This window comes from Homo sapiens, chromosome 12, assembly GCF_000001405.40.
Source record: "Homo sapiens chromosome 12, GRCh38.p14 Primary Assembly".
NCBI classification, from domain to species: Eukaryota; Metazoa; Chordata; class Mammalia; order Primates; family Hominidae; genus Homo; species Homo sapiens.
Window position 1 is genome coordinate 51,105,786 of NC_000012.12, and position 20,912 is coordinate 51,126,697.

General features: G+C 41.2%; 1 protein-coding gene and 2 pseudogenes across 3 annotated transcripts in view; 1 reads left to right on the forward strand and 2 right to left on the reverse strand.

Annotated features, from left to right (window-relative positions):
- Positions 1 to 20,912, reverse strand: part of TFCP2 (transcription factor CP2) — a 79,480-nt gene that overhangs the window by 12,130 nt on the left and 46,438 nt on the right. For 2 of the 3 annotated variants that reach the window (NM_005653.5, NM_001173452.2), the window contains exons 2-8: positions 12,836 to 12,987; positions 11,886 to 11,962; positions 10,530 to 10,635; positions 5,092 to 5,198; positions 3,336 to 3,488; positions 1,451 to 1,561; positions 740 to 828 (exon numbers count right to left, since the gene is read on the reverse strand). In NM_005653.5, the coding sequence (NP_005644.2) occupies positions 740 to 828; positions 1,451 to 1,561; positions 3,336 to 3,488; positions 5,092 to 5,198; positions 10,530 to 10,635; positions 11,886 to 11,962; positions 12,836 to 12,987 (795 nt within the window). The remainder of the gene's footprint in view (positions 1 to 739; positions 829 to 1,450; positions 1,562 to 3,335; positions 3,489 to 5,091; positions 5,199 to 10,529; positions 10,636 to 11,885; positions 11,963 to 12,835; positions 12,988 to 20,912) is intronic. The other variant, NM_001173453.2, reaches the window with a different exon arrangement.
- RPL35AP29 (ribosomal protein L35a pseudogene 29) lies at positions 1,037 to 1,359 on the forward strand (annotated as a pseudogene).
- On the reverse strand, positions 18,650 to 19,683 carry PHB1P19 (PHB1 pseudogene 19; annotated as a pseudogene).

Genomic DNA, 20,912 nt, shown 5'->3' on the forward strand with positions numbered 1-20,912 from the left:
CAGACATAGAGCCTAAATAAATCCAAAACCACAAACATTGCAACCAAACAATATACTCGCACATTTGGTAGCCTAACTATTTCAAGTTTCAATATGGCTATGTGAAATACATGTTAAATGCTTGGACTATAATACAGCTACTTTTTAAAATTGGAGTAGGCATCTGTACCAACTTTCAATTATCTCTTATGGTAAAAGATAATAAGGCAAGATTAAATGTATCCCATAAATAATTCCAAAACTTCATTTTAGCCATCATCTTCAAACTTATTTCCCCAATTATCAAAGATTCATAATAATTAGGTGTTAGAAGTATTCCTAACAAGTAACAAAACAAATTTTAGTGTTTGTACAATTGTTTCCAGTTCCCAAAGACCACTGTCTGGTGCAAGTATGATCAGGAAATGAAATAACCACAAGATGTGCAGTAATAGGGAGAGGCAAAAAGCCCAGATCATCAGTCCCTGAACCACTAAAAATTGACCATAAATGCTACTTTCTAGTGGGGGGAAAAAAGACGAGGAGGAGGGAGAGGGGAGAACACAAAGAGAAGAAAGGGCTATATAAAACTCTTTCGATCTCTTTTGAAGCTACTCCAAATCTCAGTTAATATATAAATCCATCAAAGAACGACCAAATAGATATACTTATTGATTTAAAAAAGATCTTGTTTATGAACAGGTAATGAAAGAATATATATTTTGGACAAATATAAGCCAATTTTATTTCCCAGACTTACCCTTCCCCAAGAGAAAAACTGCTATGGGAACTGTTGAAGCCAGGTGATGGGGAGTTATTGACATACGTGATCTCGGGCCATGGAGAACACTAAAAACAAAGGATAAGTTAGATAATGAACGAGCACATATGACCCCAGGATTTGACTAAAACATTGTTACTTGAATAGCACATCTTGATTAGTAAATCTTAATTCCTCAGAGACTCCCATAAGCAATAGAGAACACTGCTTCTCTTTCCGCCATCTTGGAGCCTGTGGGGAGGCCTGCTGAGAATAGGACTTCTAAAAAGAAATAAGTCTAGAAAACTACGGTCCCAGGCCATTTTTGTTGGTTATAAGTGGGTTCCAGAACCAAAGGCAGCACACAGCTCTTCCTAAAATTGAAGGTGGTTTATGCCCAAGATGAAACTGAATTCTATTTGGGCAAGAGATGTGCTTATGTATACAAAGCAAAGAACACCACAATAGCTCCTGCAGCAAACCAAACCAAACCAGAGTAATTTGGGGAAAGATAACTTGGACACAGAGACAGTGGCATGGTTCGTGCCAAATTCTAAAGCAATCTTCCTGTTAAGGCCGCTGGACACAGAATCCATGTGATACTGTGTCCCTCAAGGCTTAGGAGAAGTAAATTCTGACCAGTTTGGAAGTGATGAATTTTTAAGATTAAAAATTATGAACTGAAATTGTCACCAAAAGAAATCTTTTTACCTCTGTGAGTATGGTTGTCTCATAGGAAGGCTGATATTTCTCCTTTTCATGAGGTGTTCGTTTCTCCATTTTTTCCCTATCCGTTTTTTGCTTTCTGTCTGCACCTTTGGGCTGAAATGAGAAATATTTTGTTTTAAATTCAGGTACTCACCTTTTAACCCAAAATATTGCTTCCAAAAACTTAAATATTCATGTATGAAACAAAATTGTATGTGCAGTGATGTAAAGGCAAGACACATCACTTTAAGTTTGAAAATAGGAAATTTAAATGTTTATATTCGATGGAGTTGAAAAGAATCAGATCTATAGCTACTGACATGGAAAGATCTCTAAAGCACATAGTTCACTGAAAAAAATCAAGTCTCAAAACATTTCTTTCTTTTTTTTTTGAGACGGAGTCTCATCCTGTCACACAAGCTGGAATGCGGTGGCGAGATCTTGGCTCACTGCAACCTCCGCCTCCAGGGTTCAAATTATTCTCCTGCCTCAGCCTCCCCAGTAGCTGGGACTACAGGCGTCCGCCACCACACCCAGCTAATTTTTTATCTTTAGTAGAGACGGGGTTTCACCATTTTGGTCAGGCTGGTCTTAAACTCCTGACCTTGTGATCCGCCCACCTCGGCCTCCCAAAGTGCTGGGATTACAGGCATGAGCCACCGTGCCTAGCCTCAAAACATTTCAAATAGTATAATCCCATTTATGTGTCAAAGAAAATATGTATATAGCTATGTATGTGTGTGTATAAAAGCATAGGAAGGAACTAGAAGAGCTGGGCGCAGTGGCTCATGCCTGTAATCCCAGCACTTTGGGAGGCCGAGGCAGGCGGATTGCCTGAGGTCAGGAGTTCGAGACCAGCCTGGCCAACATGGCGAAACCCTGTCTCTACTAAAAATACAAAAAATTAGCTGGGCATGGTGGTGTGTGCCTGTAGTCCTAGGTGCTGGGGAGGCTGAGGCGTGAGAACAGCTTGAACCCAGGAGACGGAGGTTGCAGTGAGCTGGCACTGCACCACTGCATTCCAGCCTGGGTGACAGAGTGAAACTCCGACTCAAAAAAAAAAAAGAAGAGGGAAGTAGAAGAACACATACGAAATTATGAAATTATGACAGTGGTTTCCTCTGGGAAGAGGTTGTGGAGGGGGTCAGTGTAAGAGTAGTAAAGGGAGAATTTCAGTGTTGCTATGAATACCTCTGTATTATTCAATCTCTTACAATGAGAACATATTTATTCATGTGATAAAAATAAACAGGACCCTGGCTGGGGCACAGTGGCTTACACCTGTAATCCCAGTACTTTGGGAGGCCAAGGAGGGCAGATAACTTAAGCCCGGGAGTTCAAGGCCAGCCTGGGCAACATGGCAAGACCCCCTCTCTATAAAAAATACAAAAATTAGCCCGGTGTGGTGGCACATGCCTGTAGTCCCACTTACTGGGGAAGCTGAGGCAGGAAGATCAATTGAGCCCAGGAGGTTAAACTATGATTGCGTCACTGCACTCCAGCCTGGGTGACAAAATGAAACCCAGTCTCAAAAATAAATAAATAAATAAATAAGACCAAATAAGAAAAGATCAAGTATGAAAATAACCATAACTAGTCAATTTTTGTGAGCTTTACAAGAGCTTGTAACTTCAATAGGCTTTAAGAGCTTTCAATGAGAATCCATGTTCTTGCCTCTAGCCCTCTTTTCCAAGTTCCTATTATCCTACGACCATGTAAATTTCTTTACCAGGCATCTTGGTAATTATTTCAATGACTCTAGCTTAGACTTTTTGCGTGTGTGTGAGTTTTCAAAAAAAGACAAGTTGATTTTCTGACTTGGTAACTAATGTTAAAATAGAATGATAAGGTAAAAGAATCCAAGGGCCAGCACATTGCCCAGGAATACCTTGAAAACTTTGATCTGGCAGCTGGCCGAGTGTAAGTGCTCAGTATATTCCCCGTTTTCATTCTCCTTGAAGGTATCTATTTGTACTCGGAATGGCACCCCCTTTTCTCCACCATGTTTCCTCATAGTGAACTCTGTGCTAATACAGTGCACCTGAAAAGAATACAACAGCAAGGCTTCAGTACCGCTAGCTAGCCAAACCAGTTGGCAGTATTTTTTTAGCAACTATTAACAGCAAAACCTTTACCAGGCATTATGAATACCTACAAAAAACACTTTTCCTCTTTTTGATCTTGAAGAACTTACAATCTGATAGAGGAAATAGAAAAATGCTTTACAAATGCAAACAAAATAAAAGTACAGATCTAATGCTAACAAAAGCTACTGTGAGGAACTAAATTCATTAACTGCTTCAAAGAACACAGAGCTAGCAAAAGAGAAATGATTTATGTTAGTTAAAGTTTCCTCAATTTTAAGGAAGATTGTAGAAAGAGGAGTCACTACCCAGTCTGGGAACATAGTAAATATGAAAGTTCACAGCAATAGTGGAGAAAAAGGTTTGCTTGGCTACTGCATAAAGTCTAAGATTGGTGAATTTTTTTTTTTTTTTTTTTTGAGACTAAGTTTTGCTCTTGTCACCCAGGCTGGAATGCAATGGCACAATCTCGGCTCACCGCAACCTCCACCTCCCCGGTTCAAGCAATTCTCCTGCCTCAGCCTCCCAAATAGCTGGGATTACAGGCACACACCACCACGCCCTGCTAATTTTTGCATTTTTAGTAGAGACAGGTTTTCGCCATGTTGGCCAGGCTGGTCTCGAACTCCTGACCTCAGGTGATCTGCCTGCCTCGGCCTCCCAAAGTGCTGGGATTACAGGTGTGAGCCACGGCACCCAGCCTGGTGAATCTTAATAGAAGAACCTTGTCTGACTGACTACTCCACAAGATTATAGCTGAAAGTCTTAAAATCATATATATAAAGTGTTTACTTAACATAGTGACTATTTCATGTGAAGTATTAATAAACTAGTGGTTACTATAATTACTACAAATAAGGATTTTCAAGGACTCTACCCAAAGAACATAATCAGATACGCAAATCAAATTTTAAGTATAAATATGTTCAAAATAACATCACAGATAATAGTAAAAAATCAGGCCAATCAAGGCCGGGCATGGTGGCTCACACCTATAATCCCAGCACTTTGGGAGGCCAAGGTGGGTGGGTCACCTGAGGTCAGGAGTTCAAGACCAGCCTGGCTAGCATGGCGAAATCCCACCTCTACCAAAAATACAAAAATTAGCCAGGCATGGTGACATGCGCCTCTAGTCCCAGCTACTGGTGAGGCTGAGGCAAGAGAATCGCTTGAACTGGGAGGCAGAGGTTGTAGTGAGCCGAGATTGCACCACTCCACTCCAGATTGGGAGACAAAGCCTAGACACTGTCCCCCCCCAAAAAAATTATGCCAATCTAACTGCCAAATAATTGTTATGTAAATTATGGTACAACCAAGAAATGAAATATTATGCAGCCATTACCAAGCAATTTTGGGAGACACAAATAAATAAACTGGGGTATTAGAAGAGCAATTCAGAAACTCCTCAATGCTCTCAGGCACAGGTTAAAGAGCCTGGGCTTGACAGTCAGGCTAGAACCCTGTAAAGATTTCAAAGTTAACATGTTTTATCCTTTAAGAAATAAACTGATAGTAAGAGAGATACTCTTCAAAACTGGAACCCTATCTGCAACGCCTTACCTGAATAAACACAGATGTCCTCTTTGCAGGGTCCCACAGGAACTCCACTGTATTTAGTTGAGTTGGATTAGCCCTAGGATCGATTATACCCACAGACATCGGGATATCTGAGAAACAAAATGGTAATCATTGAACAATTTTGAGGGCCACTCAGTTTTAAATAAGAAAGCATTGATTCTTATATTACTCAATGTAGCTACCAAGATTTTTGTATATCACATCCTAAATTTCTTTGTTTTTTTTTTTTGTCGTTGTTGTTGTTTTTTATGGAGTCTTGTTCTGTTGCCCAAGCTGGAGTGCAGTGGTAACAGGCCTGGAGTGCAGTGGCACCATCTCAGCTCACTGCAACCTCTGCCTCCTGGGTTCAAACGATCCTCCTGCCTCTGCCTCCTGAGTAGCTGGGATTACAGGCCCGTGCCACCACGCCCGGCTAATTTTTTTGTATCTTTAGTAGAGATGGGGTTTCACCATGTTGGCCATGCTGCTCTCAAACTCCTGACCTCAGGTTATCCACCCACCTTGGCCTCCTAAAGTGCTGGGATTACAGGCTTGAGCCACTGTGCCCAGCCCACACCTTAAATTTCTTTTTTGTCAATGAAAATATTTGATTAGAGTAAAATTGACTTAAGTACTTTGCTTGAGCACCTTTTTTCCTCTTTAAAAAGTTTTTAAAATACGGCAATTAAAAAAATTATTTGGCCAGGCACGGTGGCTCACACCTGTAATCCCAGCACTTTGGGAGCCCAAGGCAGGCGGATCATGATGTCAGGAGTTCGAGACCAGCCTGACCAACATGACGTAACCTCATCTCTACTAAAAATACAAAAATTAGCCGGCCGTGGTGGCCCACACCTGTAATCCCAGCTACTCAGGAGGCTGAAGCAGGAGAATTGCTTGAACCTGGGAGGTGGAGGTTGCAGTGAGCCGGAGATCGAGCCACTGCACTCCAGCCTGGGTGACAAAGCAAGACTTCATCTCAAAAAAAAAAATTATTTTTAGGCCAGGCGTGGTGGCTTACACCTGTTATCCCAGCACTTTGGGAGGCCAAGGTGAGCGGATCACCTGAAGTCAAGAGTTCAAGACCAGCCTGGCCAACATGGCGAAACCCCGTCTCTACTAAAAAATACAAAAATTAGCCAGGCATGGTAGTGGGCATCTGTAATCCCAGCTACCTGAGAGGCTGAGGCAGAGAGAACTGCTTGAACCAGGGAGGCGGAGGTTGCAGTGAGCCAGTATTGCGCCACTGTGCTCCAGCCTGGGTGACAGAGCAAGACTGTCTCGAAAAACAAAAAAATCATTTTTAAATTGAGAAATAATAATTGTACATATTCATGGGCTATATAGTGATGTTTCAATACATATAATGCATAGTGATCAGATCAGGGTAATCAGCATATTCATTGTCTCAAACATCTGTCATTTCTTTGTGTTGGGAATGTTTAGTATCCTCCTTCTAGCTTAAAATATGGCAATTTAAAGGCAGTTTCCTTTTAATTTGTTAAAATCCTATTTAAGGTGGATTAAGTCTACACTATCATGAAAACTGTAATTTATAATCTATTTCAACTACAGTTTGAAAATTAGTTTCATTGCCAAAAGCACATTAAGAGTATTGCTATTGAAGGGGTGCAGCAGAGTGTCTATATGAAGGTAGAAAGCATTATATCATGAATGAAAGTGGGAAAATTTTAACATAAAGATTGATGCAGGCCAAGCGTGGTGGCTCACGCCTGCAATCCCAGTACTTTGGGAGGCCAAGGCGGGTGGATCATTTGAGGTCAGGAGTTCGAGACCAGCCTGGCCAACATGGTGAAAACTTGTCTCTACTACAAATATAAAAATTAGCTGGGCGTGGTTGTGGATGCCTATAATCCCAGCTACTCAGGAGTCTGAGGCATGAGAATGGCTTGAACCCGGGAGACAGAGGTTGCAGTGAGCCGAGATCATGCCATTGTACTCCAGCCTGGATGACAGAGCAAGACTCTGTCTCAAAAAAAAAAAAAAAAAGATGGTTGATGCTGACTTACCAAGTCATCAAATAATCCTATAACAGAGTGACAAATCTTTACTTAAAAGGGAAGCAAGAATTAATGGGTTTGAGTAGAACTTTTCTTTCCATTCCACACAGCAGATATTCAAATAGCATTCCCTGATTTCTCCTATTAATGATCAAACTGGGGAGTTAAGGCCAGGTAATATGTATTATCAGAACTGTGGTATTAACTATACTACTGTTTTGGTATCAATGATTCAAACAATAGAGCATCAAGTGGGTCCCACTCCACAATATTAGTTGTGTTAGATTCATCTTAAGGTCAACTTATCATACAGATATCAGGATCACTGCATGAGAACCAATGTTTTCTCAGGTAAAATTAGTAGCAGTTAAATTTTTCTTAACAACTATGTTTACCAAAAGGAAATTTTAACCAATTAGAAATCAGAGAGGCAGACACCATGAAAAGTGACTGCATGTGTATTTGTGAAGATCTTTCCTTTATACCCTATGACTTAGGAAAAACAAATTCTACTCTGTGTAGCAACGTGGGAAGACACAACTTAACTGCAAACCAAGTGACATAGCTTCTAATACCAGAACTCCCACTTTATAGTGCCTGGTTCTCAGGCACTAGTAAAATGAAGGAACTTTCAGCATGCTGGGGAAAAAAGTCTGCCCCTCTTTACAAACGCAAAACAAAATATCAGATCCTGAGCAGCCAAAACAATCGTGAAATAGAACAAAGTTGGAGTTCTCATGCTTCACGACTTCCAAACTGACTATAAAGCTACACTTAGCAAAATAGTGAGGTATAGGCATAAAGACAGACATTTAAACAAATGGAATAGAATAGACAGCCTACAAATAAGTATTCAAATATATGGTCAAATGAGTTTTGACAAGGGTGCAAGACCATTCAGTGGGGGAAAGAACAGTCTTTTCAACAAACGGTGTGGAGAAAACTGGGTATCCACATGCAAAAGAATGAAGTTGGGCCCTTCTTTCTGTATATGGTTTACCATACAACCTTTTTTGTATATGGTTGTACCATATACAAACACGAACTCAAAATGGACCTGTGACCTGAATATAAGACCTAAAACTATAAAACTCTTAGGAGAAAACATATGGGAAAAGCTTCTTGGCACTGAATTTGGCAATGATTTCTTGGATGTGGCACCAAAAGCACAGGGAATTAAAAAAAATTAGATAAATTGGACCACCTCAATGTAAAACTTTAGTGCATCAAAGGATAGTATCAACACAGTAAAAAAGCAACCCACACAATAACAGAAAAGATTTGCATGTGATATATCTGCTATGGGGTTAATATCCAGAATATTTTAAAAATTCTTTCAACTCAATAACAAAAAAAACAAAACAATCCAATTCGATAGTGGGCAAAAGACTTGAACAGACATTTCTCCAAAGAAAATATATAAATGATGGGCCGGGAGCCTTGGCTCACACCTGTAATCCCAGCGCTTTGGGAGGCCAAGGCGGGTGGATCACCTGAGGTCAGGAGTTCAAGACCAGCCTGGCCAACATGGCAAAACCCTGTCTCTACTAAAACACAAAAATTAGCTGGGTGTGGTGGCGGGCACCTGTAATCCCAGCTACTCAGGAGGCTGAGGCAGGAAAATCGCTTGAACCCGGGAGGTGGAAGTTGTAGTAAGCCAAGATCATGCCACTGCACTCCAGCCTGGGCGACAGAGGGAGACTCCATCTCAAAAATAAATAAATAAATAAATAAAAATAAAGAAAGAAAGAAAATATATAAATGGCCAATAAGCACATGCAAAGATGCTTGACATCACTTATCACCAGGGAAATGCAAATCAAAACCACAATGAGATACTACTTCACAACCATCAGGATGGATATTATCAAAAAATAGAAAGCAACAGGCCAGGTGTGGTGGCTCACGCTTGTAATCCCAGCACTTTGGGAGGCCGAGGCGGGCAGATCAAGAGGTCAAGAGATTGAGACTACCCTGGCCAACATGGTGAAACCCCGTCTCTACCAAAAATACAAAAATTAGCTAGGTGTGGTGGTGCATGCCTGTAATCCCAGCTACTTGGAGGCTGAGGCAGGAGAATCACTTGAACCTGGGAGGGAGAGGTTGTGGTGAGTTGATATCGCGCCATTGCACTCCAGCCTGGGCAACAAGAGCGAAACTCCATCTCAGGAAAAAAAAAAAAAGGAAAGCAACAAGTGTTGACAAGGATTGGAGAAATTGGAACCTTTTTTTTTTTTTTTTTTTTGAGAGAGTCTCGCTCTGTCACCCAGGCTGGAGTGCAGTGGCGTGGTCTTGGCTCACTGCAAGCTCCGCCTCCCGGGTTCACACCATTCTCCTGCCTCAGCCTCCTGGGTAGCTGGGACTACAGGCGCCCGCCACCACGCCCAGCTAATTTCTTTGTATTTTGAGTGGAGACGGGGTTTCACCATGTTAGCCAGGATGGTCTCGATTTCCTGACCTCATGTTCTGCCCACCTTGGCCTCCCAAAGTTTTGGGATTACAGGCGTGAGCCATCGCGCCCGGCCGAAATTGGAACCTTTGAGTACCGCTGGTAGAAATGTAAAATGTGTAGTCACTGTGGAAAACAATATAGTGGTTTCTAAAAAAAATCTAAGATAGAGTTACCATATGACCCAGCAATTCCATTTCTGGATATGTATCCAAAAGAATTAAAAGCAGAGACTCAAACACATATTTGTACATCCATGTTCATAGCAGCATTATTCACAATAGCCAGGAAATGGAATCAAATTAAGTGCCTATCATGGGATGAATGGATAAACAAAGTGTGATATATACACACAATGGAGTATTATTCAGCCTTGCATGGGAAGGAAATGCTAATGTATGCTATACCATGAACCTTGAAAACATTATGCTAAGTGAAAAATGCCAGTCACAAAAGGACAAATACTGTATGATTTCATTTATGCAGTACTTAGTAGTCCAATTCATAGAGACAGAAAGGAGAATAGTGGTTACCAGGGGCTGTGAAGAAGGGAGAATGGGGAGTTGTTGTTTAACAGGTACAGACTTCTGGTTTTGCAGATGAGAAAAGTTCTGGAGATGGATGATAGTGATGGTTACACAATAATGTGAATGTACCTAATGTTACTGAACTATCCACTTAAAAATGGTTAAAATGATAACTTTTATGTAATGTATATTTTACCACAACTTAAAAAACAACAAAATCAACCTATAGTTGCTATGGAACTAAAGTGTTTACACTTCCAACTTCAATTTTGATATCATTTTAACTTGTATTACTTAAAATTTTTTATGCTTAGTAAATAATTTCAAGGTTTATACTAATTGAGCCTCTCAAGCATATGAATCAAGGTAAATGTCAAATAAAGAAAACCAACTCTGGGTCCATAGCTAAAGGCATTTCCTAGGCAATAGATTCTCTTAACTCACCTATGTCAAGAATTCTGTCTCCAGGTCGGTTCCACCTCCAGCCCTCTAGCTGCTGATGCTCAGTGTACTGAAGCCTTCTGTCATGGAACACCACACGGAATATACTCTAAAAGGATACAACAAAATCAGATGATAACAAGACCTCTTGAAAATCAGTGCTGACAAAGAAAAACTAGCAGGATTCACTGCCAGTTTGTTTCTAAACGCAATCTAAAATTATTTTTCTTAAGATCTGTTTCACTCTAAAACCCATACCATACTAAGTGCTATTTCAGGATAAAATTTTATAATTTCTCAGATATAATCTTTTTTTTTTTTTTTGAAACAGATTTTGCTCTTGTTGCCCAGGTTGGAGTGCAATGGTGTGATCTCGGCTCACCGCAACCTCCACCTCCCGGGTTCAAGGAATTCTCCTGCCTCAGCCTCCTGAGTAGCTGGGATTACAGGCATGTGCTACCACGCCTGACTAATTTTGTATTTTTTGTAGAGACAGGGTTTCTCCATGTTGGTCAGGCTGGTCTCAAACTCCCAACCTCAGGCGACCCGCCCGCCTCAGCCTCTCAAAGTGCTGGGACTATAGGCGTGAGCCACCGGGTCCAGCCAATTTCTCAGATAGAATCTTTATAGTTAACTGGTACCATATTTAAAACTTGGCTTAAACTTCAGTCCGATGGTAACTAGGAATAAAGTACTCCTGTCTGAAGCGTTTCTGCACACCTCTTCTGTTATACCACGGCCTATCTGGCTTAGCTCTTCAGATGTATATGAAAAACTCACCAACTCCCCCGCTTGCTAACCCACCATACAACCTGTAAACACTGAGGGTAGGTAGAGCCTGTTTCCATCAACTTTCCTTTTGTTACTCTTACTTTGTAGAAGTGCCTATTAATTCCTCCCACCACCTTTTGACAAAACTCCTCTGTTTCAACTGTGCTGTGAATTATCAAAATCCTAACTGTTAATCTAGACTAAGAGAACTGCTCTTCATCAAAGTAGCTTCTGTTTTCCTTGCTATAAGACTAAGTATCAAAAAAGACACTGAGGCTTCTCTAAAGATCTCAAGGAGGTTACTTTACTCCACCCAAAAGAACTTCACTGAGCCAGGGGTGATTACCCTGGACAGGGAGTGGTAAGCGTTCTATTTCTGCAGCTCTGAAAAATTCATGTGAATACTGGGGCTTACTCTGACCCCAAAGAAATAACACATCAGCTTACTACTCTGCCAACAAATTACTGCAGGCAAGAGATACCATTAAGCCATTGGAAGCAAAAGAACATTAACAACAACAACAAAATTTAAAATCCCAAAAGGATTAGTAAAAAATATTGTACAGAAGAATGATTTATTCGTTTTACCTTCACCAATTTGCCATTAATTTCTGGAAGTTCTCCAAGTTTCCTATTGTCTAGCATTCGAATTTCATAAGACTGTCCTAGAAGAAAAAGTAATTACATATTATATTCACCACAAATTAACTTTGCTAGATTCGGAAAGAATAAAATTCAGTTGGTTGAATATACAACAGTATAATAATATTATTAGTATTAGTAACAACAATCAGAAGCCTTTACAAGATGCTCAGCACTGTGCTAAGTATTGTCACATTATCTCATTTAACTGATATACTTTTCTAAGGTATTATCAATCCCATTTTACAGACAAAGAAATTGAAACTTAAAAGAGTTTTAGCAACTTGTCCAAGGCCACACAATTGGTAAATAATAGAGCCAGGTAGAGTAATACTTCTCAGACAGTAACCAATGGGAGTGTCTAGGGAATATGATTAGGAAGAGGAAGCTGGACACTAAAAATGGACAGCTAAGCAAAAGAAGCTAGTAATAGATATCAAGTATGACATTAGAACTCAAATCTCTGAAGTAGGACTTCTAGTTTGATAGGCCACACTAGAAAGATCTAAGTTTTTACATATAAGTGTACCTAATAAAACATCATAAATGGCCGGGCACGGTGGCTCACGCCTGTAATCCCAGCACTTTGGGAGGCCAAGGCAGGCGGATCATGAGGTCAGGAGATCGAGACCATCCTGGCTAACACGATGAAACCCTATCTCTACTAAAAATACAAAAAAATTAGCCGGGTGTGGTGGCGGGTGCCTGTGGTCCCAGCTACTCAGGAGGCTGAGGCAGGAGAATGGTGTGAACCCGGGAGGCAGAGCTTGCAGTGAGCCAAGATGGCGCCACTACACTCCAGCCTGGGTGACGCCGTCTCAAAACAAACAAACAAACAAAAAAATCATAAATACAGTAGGTCTGCAATAGTACTAATGAATGAGGAAGCATCTAACCTTGATTGAGATACGTTAGGGTTTCATCATGGAGTTTCACTGCTGGAGAGGTAGCAGCACAAAGCACATATTGAAAAGGCAGGATTTTATTCTCATTATCAGGAGGCAAACTCGACTCTTCTTGCTTAAAAATGGGCAATGCAAGGACATCACTAAAATAAAACAAATGACTCACATTAATACCTGGCAATGGTGCAAACGCAGGTTTATTGCTGAATGATTTAACTGCAATGCTTTGGAAAGCCATAAACATTACTCACCTTGGTGGAGTTTCATCCCAAGAATTCCATTTAGATTACCTGCTGTGATATCCCCCTGACCACAACAGTGTGGGTGATGACAGATATTCACTGCTAAAACCACTAAGTGTTAAAGAGAATGTTTCTAGGAATCATAGACAGGGGTTCCTAAAAGGACTGTGGAAATTATAAACAGAGTTCTAAAATGTATAAATCTAGGACATTCAGTAACGTCTTCATTCTCAGAAAGGCAACAACTATACTATCTATATAACCATATCAGCTGATTTACTATAAGGACTAAAATAACTTCTACAATTCCTTAGAAGCCACGTGAAAAGGACAAATCAATAACGAGTATATATTTCAAGGTCATCTTACATTCTGTGGAATAACAACTAATATTGAGATGTTCCTACAAGCCATTTCCTCTAAGAAAAAGCTTTTTGTATCTATCAGTTTATCTAAACTTGCAAACCAAAGACACATACCCATCCTTTGTCAGTGGGAATGTAAAACCACACTCTCATCCTTTTGTCAGTAGCAATGTACAATGACATAAAACAGTTTAGGAAAAGGTTTGGCAGTTTTTTATAAAATTAAACATGCAGTCAGGCACAGTGGCTCATGCCTGTAATCCCAGCAATTTGGGAGGCCGAGGTGGGCGGATCACCTGAGGTCCGGAGGTGGAAACCCGCCTGACCAACATGGCGAAACCCTGTCTCTACTAAAAATACAAACCTAGCTGGGAGTGGTGGCGCATGCCTGTAATCCCAGCTACTCAAGAGGCTGAGGCAGGAGAACTGCTTGAACCCGGGAGGTGGAGGTTGTAGTGAGCCGAGATGGTGCCACTGCACTCCAGCCTGGGCAACAAAGGCGAAACTCCATCTCAAAAAAAAAAAATTAATTAAAAAAATTAAATTAAATTAACCATGCATCTATTGACCCAGCAATTCCACCCATTGGTACTTATCCAAGAAAAATGAAAATGTAAGTCCACCCAAGACTTGTTATAAATGTTCACAGCATAAAAGCAAAAACTAGGCCAGGTGCTCACGCCTGTAATCCCAGCACTTCGGGAGGCCGAGGCGGGTGGATCACCTGAGGTCAGGAGTTTGAGACCAGCCTGGCCAACATGGTGAAACCCTGTCTCTACCAAAATTACAAAAATTAGCTGGGTGTGGTGGCGCATGCCTGTGGTCCCAGATACTTGGGAGGCTGAGGCAGGAGAATCACTTGACCTCAGGAGGCAGAGGTGCAGTGAGCCGAGATCGTGGCACTGCACTCCAGCCTGGGCAACAAAGCAAGACTCTGTCTCAAAAAAAAAAAAAAAAAAAAAAAAGAACAACAACAACAACAAAAAAATAAAAACTGGAAAGAACCTAAATGTTCATGAGTAAGAGAACGGATGTACAAACCATGGTATATCCATACAATGGACTACTCAGTGAAACAAAGGAATGCAACACGGATGAATCTCACAGATATAATGCTCGACAAAAAAAGCCGGACACAAAGAATGTGTAATGCATGGTTCTGTTTATATGACAGTCTAAAACAGGCAGAGCCAAAGAGAACAATGGTTTCCTGGTGGGGCAGGGGATGACTTGGAAGGTATATAAGGGAACTTTGTAGGGAGATAAAAATGTATTATACTATGATAGGTCTGCTACGTGGTTGTAACTGTAACAGCTTATTTTTGCATCTCATTGTATATGAATTTTACCTAAAAAAAAAATTATTGATTAGAGGATGGGGAATAGGTAGAAGTAAAAATAATAAAAGAGGGCTAGGTGTGGTGGCTCACGGCTGTAATTCCAGCACTTTGGGAGGCCAAGGCAGGCAGATCACTTGAGGCCAGGAGTTCAAGACCAGCTTGGCCAACATGGTGAAACCCCATCTCTACTATTAATAAAAATACAAAAATTAGATGGGTGTGGAGACACACATCTGTAATCCCAGCTATGTCAGAGGCTGAGGCACGAGAATCACTTGAGCCGAGATTGTGCCACTGCACTCCAGCCTGGGCGACATAGCGAGACTGTGTCTCAAAAAAAAAAAAAAAAAAAAGGTAAAAAGAGTAGTAACATGTTAAAGCAAGGTGATGAGTACAAGAGGGTTCATCATATTATTCTGTTTACTTTGTATATGTTTGAAATTTTCCACAGTAAAGTTTTTTTTAAAAAAGAAAAAATATATATAGGCCACAGAGTACTTCTGGGTACAAAAGAAAAGGAACAGGGTACATGAAATAAAAGAAACAATTAAGATTCCCTTGGCTAGGCACGGTATGGCTCATGCCTGTAATCCCAGCACTTTGGGAGGCCAAGGGGGGCAGATCACTTGAGGTCAGGAGTTTGAGACCAGCCTGGCTAGCATGGTAAAACCCCGTCTCCACTAAAAGTACAAAAATTAGCCGGGCGCGTTGGCGCGCGCCTAGTCCCAGCTACTTGGGAGGCTGAGGCAGGAGAATTGCTTGAACCTGGGAGGTGGAGGTTGCAGTGAGCCAAGATCGTACCACTGCACTGAAGCCCGGGAGACAGAGCGAGACTCCATCTCAAAAGAAAAAAAAATATTCCCCCAAAAGATCAGAAGTCAGGAATCCAGTGATTTTTTTTTTTTTTTTAAGACAGTCTCACTCTGTCTCCCAGGCTTGAGTGCAGTGGCACGATCTCGGCTCACTGCAACCTCCACCTCCCGGGTTCAAGTGACTCTCCTGCCTCAGACTCCCAAGTAGCTGGGACTACATGCACACGCCACCACACCCGACTAACTTTTGTATTTTTAGTAGAGACGAGGTCTCACCATGTTGGCCAGGCTGGTCTCAAACTCCTGACCTCAAGTGATCTGCCCACCTCAGCCTCCCAAAGTACTATGATTATAGGCATGAGCCACCACACCCAGCCCAATGATTCTTGTTAACATTCCCCATGTTCAAAATGAAATACATTGAAATCTTTACCTATAATTTAAATATTAAGCTTCTAAAGAGACAAAAATGCTTTTGTTTTAACCATTCACAGATGAAAAAGCAATTCTTTATATGTACCTATATATCTCACCTGTATACACATTTTCCCCAATACATCAGATTACAGGGTCACTACCTTCAGGCAAAGACACTATTGACAGAAAGTTGACTACACTCTTGTGAATTTTACAGACAATATTATAAATTATTACTGGAAAATAAAACAAGTAGCAAATGTTCTGATTATTGACTTCACACACAGGTATAATACAAATTTACTGGCATGAACACTAAAAAACAGAGGGGTGGAAGAGAAGAAAATTTTTCTTTCTGTTGATGTCTGAATAACAATGTTATTATTTGAATCCAGAAAGATTAGATGCAAACCAGTTTTCATGAAACAGTTTTATTTTTTTTCTTTTCTTTTTTTTTTTTTTTTTTTTTTTGAGATAGAGTCTCCCTCTGTTACCCAGGCTGGAGTGCAGTGACACCATCTTGGCTCACTGCAACCCCTGCCTCCTGGGTTCAAGTGATTCTCCTGCCTCAGCTTCCCGGGTAGCTGGGATTACAGGCACCTGCTACCACACTCAGCTAATTTTTATATTTTTAGTAGAGACAGGGTTTCACCATGTTGGCCATGCTGGTCTCGAACTCCTGACCTCAGGTAATCTGCCCATCTCGGCCTCCCAAAGTGCTGGGATTACAGGTGTGAGCCACCACACCCAGCCTATGAAACAATTTTCTAATCGTTAAAAAATATTTCAAAGGCCAGAAACACAAAAGGCACTTTCTTTTGCTTAGGCTTTGCTCATATGAGTTAAGAGTGGAGAATGTTGAGGGAATCCTTCTTCCTGTCCATATTAATTTTTTTCCACATGAAACATATTATTGTTCCCTTCAGACTATTTACAACTGTAGAAACATAGAGTTTTCTAAAAAATTACTCTGTTCTAGTCCTTTTATTTCTCAAGATCAGGAAGTTACCAGTGCTCTCCTAACAAAAAGTATAGAAAATAAAGTAAAACACCACAAAACTTAACACAGTGTTAGCATTTCTAAGCCTTTACTACCTTATCATTCTCAAATACATCACATCTGATGATTCCTTAAAAGATTAGTAAAGATTACCAGATTTCAAGGCAAACAGAATTTTGAAACATAGCAACAGTTCAACCTCTATGAATGTAGGGTGGTTATTTTTTCTTCTCAAGTATCACTACCAACCAAGGTTAATAAATAGCAACCATTCCTAGTCTTCTCAGGATCATGTGGCATTACACCTAACCCATGACTAAGCAAAGGACTGTCATCTGGGGCTGGAATTCTAAAACTGATTCTCAAAGTTACCCCTAAAATTAACTCAAAACAGTACAGCCAAACCAAATACACAAGACTGTATTTCCTCATCAAAGAGTTTAAGATCTATAAACCCCAAACATATTTCAATTATTCATATTCTTGCTACACCGCATTTCTTTTAGTCTGCTGCGGGAGCAAAAGTATCATCCAGTTCCACATTCCTAGAGATAGAGGTTAAAGGTCACTGTAAATATAATTCTAGGCCCCTATTTATACCAAAACAAAAACAAGTGCATCCAGAAAGAAACAATTTTGGAAATACAAAAGTCTGCTCTTCCTCAGAGGTGAGTTTAGAAAAGGAAAACCCAAACCCATTCTGGTAGATTCTAAGTAGTTGCTGCCAATGTATAATTTAACATTTTATTATATTTTCTGATTGCTTTATGTATTTAATTCATTTTTTTATTTTTATTTTTTGTAGAAATGGAGGTCTTGCTATGTTGCCCAGAGTAGTCTCAAACTCCAAGCCTCAAGTAATCCTCCCACCTCTTCTCCCAAAGTGTTGGGATCACAGGCATGAGCCACTGTGCCTAGATTAATTCATTCCAATGAACAATAAGCTATTTGAAAGGAAGACTTCTCTTTCCTGTTCTTAGCAAATATTCACTGATATGATGTATACTTTTGTTTTGTGAAATAAAAATTATAGGAGGCCACTAAACTCCTATACTAGGCCCCAACAGGGCAGACTAAAAATAAAAATGGAGTCATTCACCTTAAGGTCTACATCGCTAAACCTAAACTAAGCTATGTTATCTTCTAAGAAATCAGGAGAGAGAGGACACCTAATTTCCCAAACAGGACAGTTTAAATCTTCAAACAGCATGATAATGAAGTTCCCTCTGCTTTAATCCTCACACAAAAACAGTAGCCTGAAGTAACCTGATGTTAACCAACCAGCTACTTTTCTTTTTTTTTTCTTTTTTGAGGGGGTCTCACTCTGTCACCCAGGATGGGGTACAGTGGCGTGATCAAAGCTCACTGCTGCCTTCAATTCCTGGGTTCAAGGGATCCTCCAGCCTCAGCCTCCCAAGTAGCTGGGACTACAGGTATGCACCACCATGTCTGGCTAATTCTTAAATTTTTTGTAGAGATGGGGTCTCATCATGTTGCTCAGACTGGTCTTGAACTCCTGAGCTCAAGCTCTTCTCTCTTAGCCTCCCAAAGTGCTAGAATTACAGGCATGAGCCACCTGGCCCAACTAATTGGTTATTTTTTTCTTTTCTTCTTCTTCTTTTTTTTTTAAGAGTTCTGAAGTGATTTTACTTTTATTTCCTTCACTTTAAGCCAATTATGAAATTTCAGTGATTTCTGGGGTAGGGGGGTAAGGCAGTGTTAAGAATCATTGGGGCTGTGGCCCAGTCAGCCTGCGGAGGTGCAGGCAGGGTGGGCCCTCATGGGGCAGCCGGAGGAGCGGACTGCCCCGCCGGCAGGTAGGTCATGTTCCGAGAGCCTCCGCGGCTTCCAACTTGCACAGCTCCATCAGGCCGTCCCCCGCGGTGGCCAGTGAGTTGGCAATCAGCTCGGTTGCCTTGGAGTCGCCCTCAGCAGAGATCACGGCTGCCTTTTTCTGCTGCTCAACCTTTTTCTGCTGCTCAGCCTTTTTCTGCTGCTCAGCCTTTTCCTTCACAAATCTGGCCCTCTCTGCTTCCTGCTGAGCCACCTGTTTGGCTTCCACTGCTTCTGTGAACTCCTTTCCAAAGGTCAGATATGTCAAGGACACGTCGTCCAGGATGAGCCCAAATGTGGCTGCTTGCTCCGTAAGGTCGTTGCTCACCTGCCTGGAGACCAGCTCTCTCTGAGTGATAACTTCTCCAGCATCAAAGCGAGCCACCACTGACTTGAGGATCTCGGTCGTGATGTACGTCAGCACAGGCTCATCATAGTCCTCTCCGATGCTGGTGAAGATGCGAGGAAGCTGGCTAGCAACAGGCTGGAAGATGATGCGCAGTGTGATATTGACATTCTGTAAATCTTTGCTACCAGTGATGATTGGTACATTACGTGGTGGAGAAAGGCAAAGATAATTGGTTTCTGTACCCATGGGATGAGAAAGTGAGTCCCCTACCACAATGTCCTGTCATTTTTGTCCTGGAATCAGTCAAAGATGACAGCTCTGTGCCCAACATCCACATTATATAAGGCAGAGTTCACAGGTCTCCTGCAACAGCTAAGGCCAAGCCAAACTTACCGTGGACTCAAACACTTTGGCTGCCATGTTTTCTTCTGTGGGACCCTCTCACACCTGCTTCCACTCTGACCTCCATATGAATCAACCAGTTATTTTTCTATTGTTCTGTCTCCCTCTCCCAGCCTTGTAAGAAAAAGTAACTAATTGAAAAGTAACTAATATACTCTGTTCTTTGCTTCTGCTTTCTTTAGCCCTTCTGTCTAACCTCTTCTGCTCAGCTCACTGGAACAATTACTGTATTTTATGGAATGATGTCTTGCTCAATTCCAGAATCATAAAGAAAGCCAATTGAGATCTTTTAAATTTGCTGTAATTCTGTCCTTTGACAGGTTGTTTGCATTCACCAGAATACTCAGCACTATATACACTATGATCATTTTGGAATTTTTTATCTTACCCTATCTCTGATCAAAATATAAAGATACAGAAATCACAGGCTGGGCGTGGTGGCTCATGCCTGTAATCCCAGCACTTTGGGAGGCTAAGATGGGCGGATCATGAGGTCAGCAGATCAAGACCATCCTGGTCAACATGGTGAAACCCCGCCTCTACTAAAAATGCAAAAATTGGCCAGGCACGGTGGCTCACGCCTGTAATCCCAGCACTTTGGGAGGCTGAGGCAGGTGGATCACGAGGTCAGGAGATCGAGACCATCCTGGCTAACATGGTGAAACCCCATCTCTACTAAAAAAGACAACAAAAATTAGCCGGGCGTGGTGTTGGGCGCCTGTAGTCCCAGCTACTTGGGAAGCTGAGGCAGGAGAATGGCGTGAACCCGGGAGGCGGAGCTTGTAGTGAGCCGAGATTGCGCTACTGCACTCCAGCCTGGGTGACAGAGTGAGACTCTGTCTCAAAAAAAAAAAAAAAAAAAGAAAAGAAAAGATATAGAAATCATACCTGTTAAAAGGATAAGTTGAGTGTATGTTAAAAATGTATACCCCTAAATGGAAATCCACACCTCAGCATGGAGGTATAGCAGAAAGCAATTGAGTGAAAGAGGAACAGAAGCAATATCAGGAGTGATCTTTCTTGAATGTAACTAGGATTCCACAAAGAGCTGCTTCATGGTCCCCCGAGGTATAAATTACCCTTTTGAGAAAAGGCAGCCCTGAATGGTCTCTAATTCATAACTGTGGTTTAGCTTTCTTCCTTCAGGCCTACCAGCTGTTCGAGATGCTCTGTTCTAGAAAGAGCCTAGAAAAGGGAGAAGGAGAGGGTTGAAGAGTGTTACCTTGAGTAAGAAAGGCAGTAGATAGCATCTAAGGAACTTAGAAACTAACTTGGGACAATAAGATGTCATGAACTTCAACTTTCCTA